The sequence below is a fragment of the Homo sapiens genome, chromosome 19 (assembly GCF_000001405.40).
Source record: "Homo sapiens chromosome 19, GRCh38.p14 Primary Assembly".
NCBI lineage: Eukaryota > Metazoa > Chordata > Mammalia > Primates > Hominidae > Homo > Homo sapiens.
The window spans coordinates 33915964-33928339 of NC_000019.10; the positions used below are offsets into that span (position 1 = coordinate 33915964).

The following is a 12376-nucleotide window of genomic DNA, read 5'->3' on the forward strand; positions in this document are numbered from 1 at the left end:
GCACATGAACTCAGCTCCCCTCAGAAATATATATCGTTTTTTCCTCCAGCTTGCTGAATACATAGGACTCTATTGTGTGATACAGACCCTGTGAGGCATAAAACCCAACCTGCCCCTTCCCTCATTAAAGAGAGGACACCTTCTGCACATGCCAGAGATGGTCTCTTCCCGGTTTGCAAACTGATACCATCAATAAAGCTCTCCTTTCTACATTTATTTATTTATTTATTTATTTATTTGAGACAGAGTCTTGCTCTGTCACCCAGGCTGGAGCACATTGGTGTGATCTTAGCTCACTGCAACCTCCGCCTCCCAGGTTCAAGTGGTTCTCCTGCCTCAGCCTCCTGCATAGCTGGGATTACAGGCACGTGCCACCACACCCGGCTAATTTTTGTATTTTTAGTGGAGACGGGGTTTCACCATGTTGGCCAGGCTGGTCTTGAACTCCTGACCTCAGGTGATCTACTGTCATCGGCCTCCCAAAGTGCTGGGATTACAGGCATGAGCCACAGCGCCCATCCTTCTTTCTACTCTTTAGCAATCCTGGTGGTCATTTGGACGACATGGATGAGGAGGGTATCTGTGTGGGAACAGGGGCAGCAATTGGTTGCATACAGAGGACTTCAATCTAATACATAAATATATGGGTGTAATGAGAGCTGGGTTTCTCACAGTTAAAAAGGGGAGTTTCAAATATAGAAAGGGAGGAAAACCCTAAAATGAAACCATTATGGGCTGAATTCTATCCTCCCAAAATTCATGTTGATGTCTTGACCCCAAGTATCTCAGAATGTGAGGGTATTTGGAGATAGAGCATTGAAAGGGGTGATTAGATTGAAATGAAATAATTAGGCAGGCCTTAATTCAATTTGACTGATATGCTTATAAGAAGAGAAGGTGAGGACAAACAGAGAGACCCCAGAGGCATGCATATACACAGGGACAACCACGTGAAGAGGTAGCAAGAGAGTGGCCATATGCCAGCCAAGGAGAGAGGCTTCAGGATAAACCAACCCTGCTGGTACCTTGATCTTGGACTTCCAGCCTCTGGAACTGTGAGAAGAGAAATGTCTGTTGTTTAAGCCATGCAGTCTGTGGCATTTTGTTATGGCAGCCCTAGCAAATTAACACAGAATCTTTTAGGATTAGATGAAAATTGGAGTTATCAGTGTAGATTCATGGTTTTCAATGTACATATAAATAGATGTAAAAATAAATGTAGATAGAAATGTGAATGTACATATATAAATGTATGCATTATGCATATTTGCATAAATATTATACACAAACATACACTCATGTATTTCCTACTTCTGTTCACTGAGAGCCCCTGGAAGCAGTGACTCCCCAAAAGCCATGAGCTCATCTAGTGTCCAAATCTTGTTTTCTTTCATTCTTTCCTTTTTTAAGAGACAGAGTCTTCCTTTGTCACCCAGACTGGAGTGTGTTGGCACCATCTTAGCTCACTGCAGCCTTGACCTCCAGGGGCTCAAGTGATCCTCCCATCTCAGCCTACCAAAGCACTGGGATGATAGGTGGTATAGTTTGGTTGTGCCCCCACCCAAATCTCATTTTGAATTTTAGCTCCCATAATCCCCAAGTGTCATGGGAGGGACGAGGCAGAGATAATTGAATCATGGGGGCAGTTTCCCCCATCCTGTTTCTGTAATAGTGAATTAGTTCTCACGTGTTCTGATGTTTTTATAAGGGGCTTCCCCCTTGGCTGGGCACTCATTCTGTCTCCTGCCGCCCTGTAGGGAGGTGCCTTCCGCCATGATTGTAAGTTTCTTGAGGTCTCCCCAGCCATGCAGAACTGTGAGTCAGTTAAACCTCTTTCCTTTATAAATTACCCAGTCTTGGATATGTCTTTATTAGCAGCATGAGAACGAACTAATACAATAGACATGAGCCACCATACCCAGACCAGATCTTGTTTTCTAAATATCAGTCTCCACTAAAAGAGCCGAGCAGGGATAGTAAAGATGAGCTTTAAACATCTTCTTGTAGAAGATTAAGAAAGTGCTTATAGGATGATGGAGGCATGTCAAAAGGACACAGAGCAGCTCCCACTGACCACATCTGGGGCAATTATAAACCACTAAGAAAAATACAAATCCATGAGTCCATACTCCTATAAATAAATAATTGTGGGGAGAAACAGCAGAATGCTTCCCTGCAGTAGAATGCCAAGTGTATAAGGAATCATGGGGTGAGAAAATCATCATCTCGTTACCTCCACAGCAATAACTAATTAATCCAAGAATCATCAATGTAGGCTTAAACTAGTGGGTAGAGGCTTGATGAGGAACAAGATATTTAGTCTCAAAGGCACCTCCTCACAAAATGTTTATTAATTACAAAGCTAAAAAGAGTGATTTGGTAGTAAAGAGGCTTGGCAGGTACAGATATGTCTTCATCAAGTTAACATCATCAGTAACAGGAGAAATTGGAAATGTGTGCCATCTGGTAAGAAGAGCAGAGCCTCACCTCTCGGATATTCCTGCCCAAAATACATAACCTGAATCTAAACACGAGGAGACATCAGTCAAACCAAACGAGGGACAAACAAACTGGCCGGTAATCTTCAAAATAACTACAAAATAACTACAAAAACTGGCTGGTAATCTACAAAATAACTGGCTGGTAATCTTCAAAAGTACCAAGGTCAAGGAGAGACTGAAAACAGTTCAGACTGAAAACTAAGAGATGTGACAATTCAATGCATCACGTTTTCCTAGACTCAATCCTTCTGCTCTTGAAACAACTAATTACATTGGAATGAGGTCTAAGGAGATGCTAGTTATGTATCAATGTTAATTTTCTAATTTTAGTCACGTATTGTGGTTATTTAGTATAATCTCCTTGTTTGTAAGAAATACACATTCAAATATTAGAAAGTGGGCCGGGCGCAGTGGCTCACCTGTAATCCCAGCCCTTTGGGAGGCCTAGGTGGGTGGATCACCTGAGGTCAGGAGTTCGAGACCAGCCTGGCCAACATGGTGAAACCCCATCTCTACTAAAAATACAAAAATTAGTTGGGCGTGGTGGTGGGCGCCTGTAATCCCAGCTACTCAGGAGGCTGAGGCAGGAGAATCACTTGAACCTGGCAGGTGGAGGTTGTAGTGAGCTGAGATAGTGCCACTGCACTTCAGCCTGGGTGACAGAGTGAGATTCGGTCTCAAAAAAAAAAAAAACCAGAAAAAAGCCAACAACTTATTCTCATACTTTTCAAGAATAAGGGGGTCTTTGTACTATATGTACTTGCAACTTTTATGTAGGTTTAAAATTATTTAAAAATAAAAATTATCTTTAAAATTATCTAAAAACTATCCTTAGAAGATACACAGATGGCAAATAAGCATATGAAAGGATGTTCAATGTCATTTGTCATTAGGGAAATGCAAATCAAAGCAATAATGCGATACTACTGCACACATATTAGAATGGCTAAAATCCAAAAAACTGACAATACCAATGGCTGGTGAGAGGGTGCAGAGCAATGGGAACTCATACATTGCTGGTGGGATTCCAAAATGATACAGCTATTTTGGAAGACAGATTGGCAGTTTCTTACAAAGCTAAGCACAGTTTTACCATATGATCTAGCAATCATGCTCTGATATGGCTTGGATGTTTATCCCCTCCAAGTCTCATGTTCAAATATAATCCTCAATGTTAGAGGTGGGGCCTGATGGGAGGTGTTTGGGTCATGGGGACAGATCCATCATGAATGGCTTGGTGCCATGCTTGCAGTAATGAGTGAGTTCTCACTCTGAGTTCATGTGAGATCTGGTTGTTTAAAAGAATGTGGCATCTCCTCCCTCTCTGTCTTGCTACTGCTCTTACCATGTGACACACCAGCTCCCCCTTTGCTTCCACCATGATTGTAAGCTTCCCGAGGCCCTCACCAGGAGCAGATACCAGCACCATGCTTCTCCTAGAGCCTGCAGAACCACGAGCCAATTAAACCTCTTTCTTTATACATTACCCAGCCTCAGGTATTTCTTTACAGCAACACAAGAATGGACTAACACAGGCTGCTCAGCATTTACCCAACTGATTTCAAAACATACGTCTGCACAAACGTCTGCATGTGAATATTTAGGGTAGATGTATTCATGATCACCCAAAATCATAAACAACTAAGATGTTCTTCAATAAGCGAAAGGATAAAGAAACAGTGGTCCGTCCATTCAGTGGGATACTACTTAGTGATTAAAAAAAAAGTGAGCCATGCAAAAAATATGGATGACTGTTATATGCATATTGCTAAGTGAAAGAAACCAATCCAAAAAGGCTATATGCTATAGGATTTCATTTGTATGACATTTTGCAAAAGGCAAAACTTTAGAGACAGTAAGCAGTTGCCAGGGGTTCTAGGAAGGAGGAGACTTGAATATGTGAAGCACAGGTGGTTTTTTAGGGTGGTGAAACTATTCTGGGTAATACTGTAATGGTGGATACATTACATTGCATTATCAAATCTGTAGACCTTTACGGCACAAAGAGGAACCCTTAATTATGCAAATTTTAAAAAATCATTTAGGAGGTTGGAGGATCCCAGGAAGAATGTAGATGGTAACAAAATAATCTACCTGTATTACAAGGGTATGAAATAACTTTACTGAAAAAGGTAGGGTGAAAATAGTGCTGACCTATGTAACTATGAAGATAAGTGAAGACTTAAGGCAAAATTTTCTGTTGGTCTACAAGTATCCTAAATGAAAGCATTGATTTAAGATTATCTTTAGCATTTGAAAAGATTTGGTATTCTAGTAGAGAAATCATCATCCTTTAGGCCCATCAGTTCCTCCGGTCACCGTGCTACACATTTGGGACGCTAGTAGAGGGTCTTGCTAGATGGCAGTTATATCAAAGAGACATGGGAACAAACTGAAAGAACTTCCAAAGGCAAAGATGAAACAATTTCATAAACCAAGTAAATGACATAGTGTTAGATTATAACTCAAAGTGTATTATAGATAGCCATGAGTCCATACTAATATAAGTAAATTATTGAATAAGTAACTAAATGGGAAATAGACAAATTTTTCATGCAGGATTCTTTTTTTTTTTTTTTTTGAGGCAGGGTCTCACTCTGTTGCCCAGGCTGGAATGCAGTAGTGCAGTCTCAGCTCACTGCAATCTTGTCCTCCTTGGCTCAAGTGCTCCTCCTGCCTGAGTCCCCCAAGTAACTGGAACCACAGGCACATACTACCATGCCTGACTAATTTTTGTATTTTTTATAGAGATAGGGATTTGCCATGTTGTCCAGGCTGGTCTCCTGGAGCTCAAGTGATCCACCCACCTCGGCCTCTCAAAGTGCTAGGATTAGCCCCTTGTGCGGAGGGGTGAAATGCACTTGGGAAGCTCTGCTAGTCAGTGAGACACTGCTGTTGCTGCTGCCCCTGGTCCTGAAGCTGTCCTTCCTCCCTGATGTACTTGACTAAGGCACAAGTATAATCTGCTCCTCCATCCCTGAATGTGGAGATGCAGTCATGGCTAAGACGCAGCCTCACTCAAGAAATCCCTCCAGCTTTGTGTGATGCCTGTAAAAAATGTTTTCTGGGTGCTTCAGAAGTAGACTTTAAGATTGCTGCCCTCATGTATTTTTTCCTAATATTTTGGCACGTATTTGTTGCTTTGCACAATCATCTCTGAAAATTTCATCTTTTAAACTCTACCTCTAGAGACGCAGCAAGGCAGCAGTGTCATTGGTTTTCTATGTAAGAAAATCATCTCTGTATTAAAAAAAATAAAATAGACCGGGTGTGGTGGCTCATGCCTGTAATCTCAGCACTTTGGGAGGCCAAGGCAGGAGCATTGCTGGAGCCCAGGAGTTCAAGACCATCCAGGGCAACATAGTGAGACCCTGTCTCTACAAAATAATAATAATTATTATTATTTAAAAAAATAAAGGCTGGGCACAGTGGCTCATGCCTATAATACCTAGCACTTTGGGAGCCCGAGGTGGGTGGATCACTTGAGGTCAGGAATTCACGACCAACCTGACCAACATGGTGAAACCCCATCTCTACTAAAAATACAAAAAATTAGCCAGTCATGGTGGTGGGCACCTGTAATCCCAGCTACTCAGGGGGCTGAGGCAGGAGAACTGCTTGAACCCGGGAGGCAGAGATGGCAGTGAGCCAAGATCACGCCGTTGCACTCCAGCCTGGGCAAGAAGAGTGAAACTCCGTCCCCAAATAAAATAAAATAAAATAAAATAAAATAAAATGGAGTTAGTAACCAACCAGTGTTTTCTTTGAGGAAATCCAGAGTAAGGCAGACACAACATCTGTTTCTGTCTCAGACCTGAGCTCCTACCTGGTCTCAGCATGGCTTGAGTCCTATGGATTGCCACTGGAAGAAGCTCCAGATAAAAATAGCAAAAGAATAAAGAAATGGCTCCCGACCTCTGGCCTTCTTCAAAAGCTGATGAGCTAATGGAGAAAAGCTCGGCAAACCAAAAACCTCCATGTGTGCCCAGTTAGAGAAGTGGAAGGCCACCTCTTGGCTTTAGTAGGAAGCTTGTGGTGGTTTCCAGTTCTTACAGAGGAGCCACATTACTCTCACAGCAGTATTCTTAGGAGTCAACCATGGCCAATGTCACCCTCTTTTTATAGGGGGGCTGAGATTGGGAGGGCAGACAACCTGCCCACTGCCAGGCACAGGCTATACGCTGCCACTACTACTATCACTATGACTGCTATTTCTGCTACTACTACACACTACGGAAAGGTGGCCTTATCTTCTATTTAGGTTTTTAGACTAGTCAAATGTACTCCCAGATGGATGGATTGATAGAAAGTTTATATTATTTATTTATTTATTTTTGTAGAGATGAGGTTTTGCTCTGTTGCCCAGGCTGGAGTGCAGTAGCACAATCATGGCTCACAGCAGCCTCGACCTCCTAGGCCCAAGCGATCCTCCCACCTCAGCCTCCCAAGTAGCCGGGACTACTGGTGCACACTACCACATCCAGCTAATTTTTAAGTTTTTTCTAGAGATGGAGTCTTGCTACGTTGCCCAGGCTGGTCTTGAACTCCTAGGCTCAAGCGATCCTCTCTCCTTGGCCTCCCAAAGTGCTGGGATCACAAGTGTGAACCACCACACCTGGCCAATTTTTTTAAAAAACGGGCTTTATTTTTTAGAGCAGTTTTGGGCTTGTAGATAAATTAAGTGGAAAATACATACAGTTCTCATATACTCCCTCACCCTCGCAGTTTCCCCTACTACTAACATACTGCAACAGTGGCTACATTTGTTGGAATTCATGAGCCAATATTGGTACATTGTTTACTTCATTTGTTAGAATTCACAGCTCATATTGATACATTGATATTAACAAAAATCCATAGTTTACATTAGGGTTGACTCTGTGTTGTACATTCTATGGGTTTTCACATGTATCCACCATTATAGTATCATACAGAATAGTTTCACTGCTCTAACCAGCCCCCTTCGTTTCTCCCTCACTCTCTCTTCCTGTGAACAACTGAAACATTGATCTTTTTACTGTCTCCATAGTTTTGCTTTTCCCAAAATGTCATGCAGTTGGAATCATACAATATGTACATTTTCAAGTTGGCTTCTGTATTAGTCCCTTCTCACACTGCTAATAAAGACATACCTGAGACTGGGTAATTTATAAAGGAAAGGGGTTTAATGGACTCACAATTCCACATGGCTGGGGAGGCCTCACAATCATGGTGAAAGGCAAAGGAGAGGCAAAGTCACATCTTACATGGCGCCAGGCAAGAGAGCATGTTCAGGGGAACTCCCATTTATAAAACCATCAGATCTCGTGAGAACTCATTCACTATCACGAGAAGAGGATGGGGAAAACTGCCTCCATGACTCAATTATCTCCACCTGGTCCCTCCCATGACATGTGGGGATTATGGGAACTACAATTCAAGATGAGATTTGAGTGGGGACACAGCCAAACCATATCAACTTCTTTCACTTAGAAATAGGCACTTAAGATTCCTCCATGTCTTTTCATGGCTCGATAGTTCATTTCTTTTTATTGCTATATAATATTCCATTGTGTGGTTATACCTCAGTTTGTTTAACCATTCAACCTATTGAAGGATACCTTGGTTGTATCTGAGTTCTCCCAATTATGAATGAAGCTACTATAAACATTCATGGGCAAGTTTTTGTGTGGATGTAAGTTTCCAACTCATTTGGATAAATTACAAGGAGCAAATTGCTGAATCCTGTGGTGAGAGTATATTTAGTTTGCATTCCCACCGGAAATGAATGAGAGTTCCATTGCTCCCCATTCTCATCAGCATTTGGTGTTGTTCGTGTCTTGTGTTTAGCCATCCTAATGGATGTGTAGTGTAGTGCACTGCTGTTTAGATGTGCAATTCTCTGATGACATGAGGTTGAGCATCTTTTTGATATCTTCTTTTGCTTTATTTTAACAAGATGTCTGTTAAGGTCTTTTATCCATTTTTAAATTGGGTTGTTTTCTTATTGTTATTTTTAAGAGGTTTTTTGGGGTGTGTGTGTGTGTATGTGTGTGTGTGTTTGTATTTTTTAATTTTTTTAGACAGAGTCTTACTCTGTTGCCCAGGCTGGAGTGCAGTGGTGCGATCTCGGCTCACTACAACCTCCACCTCCCACGTTCAAGCAATTCTCCTCCCTCAGCCTTCTGACTAGCTGGGATTACAGGTGTGAGACACCATGCCCAGCTAATTTTTGTATCTTTAGCAGAGATGGGGTTTCATCATTTTGGCCAGGCTGGTCTTGAACTGCTGACCTCAAGTGATCTGCCTTGGCCTCCCAAAGTGCTGGGATTACAGGCATGAGCCACCACACCCAGCATTTCTTTTTTTTTTTTTTTTTTTTTTGGAATTCTTTCTTTAAAAGATCACATTTTTGGTGTTGTATCTAAAAGGTCATTGCCAAACTCAAGGCACCTGATTTTCTTTTTCGTTATCTTCTAGTTTTACTGTCTTGCCTCTTACATTTAGGTTTTTTTAATTGCAAACCTCAAGGGTGGAACCAGACTATCAACATTTGGAATACTTGAAGTGAAAATAATAAATAATAATGGAAGGCTGGGGTTGAAAACACAAGCATGGCAGGCGAGATCCAATTCTGCTGGGAAGATGGCAAGCTTCTCTTTTACAAGGAGATACCAGGGATTTCTCCCCTAAGGATACACTGCTTCCCCTCATCTTTCCTGATTCCTTTCCAGCCACACAGGGATCTGATCTTATCAAGGGGAGAGATAGGGACGGACATATTCCTGCTTGGGAGCTATGGGTCTCCATCATCAGAGCCATTTCCACCCTTACAAGGAAGGGCAAGTGAATAGATCTGGCCCCACAAGCAAGAAGGAAAATCCATTCTGCTGCTCAGGTCATAGATGGGGAGCTGAGAAGAAAATAAACGGTGAGTGAGAATTTGGAATTATTACTTCTTTTTGGTTAATTTTTTTTCTGCTGCTGTATTGTGTCTTTGCATCTGATTCCAAGAAAAGGATTGACCCCAAGGTGGAGGTGGGGCATCCATACAGATGACATCACTATCACTGCATGACTGCTTTGCTCAGAGCTGGGAGCTGGGAAAGGGATGCTGCCAAGTCTGGCAATGGAGGCTGGAGCTTCACAAGGGGAGTTTTCCTGGTGGATGTCAGCCTTGAGAAAAGCCCTCCTGGGGCTGGGGCTGGGTCTTTTCTTCTCCAAGTCAGTCCCAAATCCTTTTAGGAGAAAACACACCCTCCATTTGGAATGTACTGAGAAGTAGAATTGAAAGGTCTGGGTGAGGGATAGGAGGAAGGATGAATGGAGGAGGGCCAGGGAGGACTCCCGGGCTTCTGGCATCTCTCCAATGAGGAGGGGAATCCAGGGATCACTGTTTAAATGTGCAAAGTCTAGGCCAGGCATGGTGGCTTATACCTGTAATTCCAACGTTTTGTGAGGCTGAGGCAAGAGGATGGCTTGAGGCCAGGAGTTCGAGACCAGACTGGGCAACAAAGCGAGACCCCATCTGTACTAAAATAAAACAATAACAAAAAATTAGCCAAGCCTGGTTGCACACACCTGTAGTCCCAGCTACTCAGGAGGCTGAGGTGAGAGGATCACTTGAGCCCAGGAGGTGGAGGCTACAGTGCGCTATGATTGCATTACTGCACTCTAGACTGGGTAACAGAGCAAGACCCTGTCGCAAGATAAATACTTAAATAAATAAATGTGCTTAGTCTAAAGGGCTGCTGGGATGTCTGAAAAGCAATGGATGCCTTGTAGAGAGCCCACTAAATGGGCACAAGGGTTTTCTGTTTTCTGGGGGTACCCAGGGTTCTAGCTGGAAAGGGACAGGCTTGGAGATAAGTGGCCCTGCAAAGACTCTTCTCCTTTTCCAACCTTAGTATTAAAATCCCTTTGATGGTCCAGTGGGCCTTAGGCCAAAGGAAGAAAAGAGTTTATGAAAAACCATTCAAAGAACTAAAAATAACTTGCTCATTTCTCGGCTAGACTGGCTTTGTTCAAGTCTTAGAAAAGGCAAGGAAAAAAAAAAACTTGAGAGCAAAAAATCCATGGCAACAAGCATCTTCTGTTTATGGATAGCATCCCAGGGAAATTAAGTGTCTGGCTGCTAGAGAGTAGAAGCGAAGTCAAAGTCATCTGTATCTGTTTACTTTTCTCAGATTGAGCGAACTGAAAGCCCATACCTGTTCTATATCTCCACCAGAAGTAAATACTTGTATTTTTGTTTGACAAGACATAAGCCCAATTGTTTCAGGAGTTTTGAATAAAGATGATAACATATCATTATGATTGTTGGATGACAGACTGGCTTTCCATAGCATGGATTGCCAAGAAGGGAGGGCAAAATGAAATAAGTGGGTGTTGGTAGGTATAGGTTCTAATTTCTAGTAAAAATCACTATTGTGTTTTCATTTAAACTGTTGACTGTTTTTACTTCTTTGATTCTCTTTTTAAAATTTATAATTAATTTCAAACCCACAAAGTAAACTGAACCATCCTCAATTATCTCTAAATAAGGTAAACATTTTTATTTTATTTTATTTTATATTCATTTTAGAGATGAGGTCTCTCTATGTTGCCCAGCCTGGAATGCCATGTCTATTCTCAGAAGGAATCACACTTCCTTTTTTTTTTTTTTCCTTTCTTTTTTTTGAGACGGAGTCTCGCTCTGTTGCCCAGGCTGGAGTACAGCAGCACGATCTCGGCTCACAGCAGCCTCGGCCTCCAGGGTTCAAGCGATTCTCATGCCTCAGCCACCTGAGTAGATGGGACTACAGGCACCTGCCACCAAGCCCGGCTAATTTTTTGTAGTTTTAGTAGAGACGGGGTTTCACTGTGTTAGCCAGGATGGTCTCGATCTCCTGACCTCATGATCTGCACGCCTCTGCCTCCCAAAGTGCTGGGATTACAGGAGTGAGCCACCGCGCCCGGCCGAGCAATCACACTTCTGATCACCACAGGAGTTTTGACCTGCTCCTTTTCCAACCTGGGCCAGTTCACCCCTTCTTAGGCAACCTGGTGGCCCCCTGCTCCTGGGAGGTCCTATATTGATGCCAAACATAGCGCGCAACAGCCCAGAACTCCCGGACTTCAGCAATCCTTTTGTCTTAGCCTCCAAATAGCTGGGACTGCAGGTGTGCACCACAGCACCCAGCCATACTTATTTTAGAATTTATTTCATGTGTTCTATTATTTCAGTTCTTCAAATGCAAATTCTTCACTTGTTGCACACCCTCTCACACATGTTATTTATTACTGTGAAGTCAACTTCAGGAAGGGGTTTTCTGAGAGTCTTATGTGCTTGACCTGCAAAAGTCACATAACTGAAGCCCCTGCTGGTGGTTTATTCTCACCCAAGACTCTGGACCCAGCTCTCATCTCTAACCAGAATCACCCCCAGGATCCGGCACAGACACCATTTACAGGTGTGTATGTCAGAGCTCATCTCTCAGACAGGCTCAGGTCCAGAGAGAAAACCAACAAATACCGCAGGTGACCCCAGGTGTTTTTGAAGTCATTACCCCCTCCCTGAGCTCTGGTGCCTGTCCTGAAACTCCTTTTGCAAATGAAGACATTTACATTTCATGTCCTCTGCATCCTCCTGCCAGGGCCTTCGGCTGATCAATACTTTTAGCTGACAATATTCCCCACAAGCTAAAGAAATGGCTCTCTCACCATAGAGATGAACAGAGGCTTCTTCATGGGTTTACTGGTGATATCAAGTTTCCATTTTACAGCCTTGTGAAAGCATTTAGAAAACCATGATTCCTAAGTAGTGTGAATAGAAAGGAACCTATTTGTTATGCTGATGTATCCTCCTCTATAGACTCAGGGATAGCCTGACTTTAGCCATGCACACCACACTTTCT

General features: G+C 42.7%; 1 pseudogene, besides 1 other annotated feature; it reads right to left on the reverse strand.

Annotated features, from left to right (window-relative positions):
• Positions 11401-11662, reverse strand: RN7SL150P (RNA, 7SL, cytoplasmic 150, pseudogene; annotated as a pseudogene).
• Positions 11403-11922: an enhancer, noted in NCBI's record as "H3K27ac-H3K4me1 hESC enhancer chr19:34418271-34418790 (GRCh37/hg19 assembly coordinates)". NCBI's record gives its function as "activates a minimal SCP1, AML or CMV promoter by ChIP-STARR-seq in primed H9 embryonic stem cells {active_cell/tissue: H9 hESC(primed)}" and the evidence as "EXISTENCE:reporter gene assay evidence [ECO:0000049][PMID:30033119]".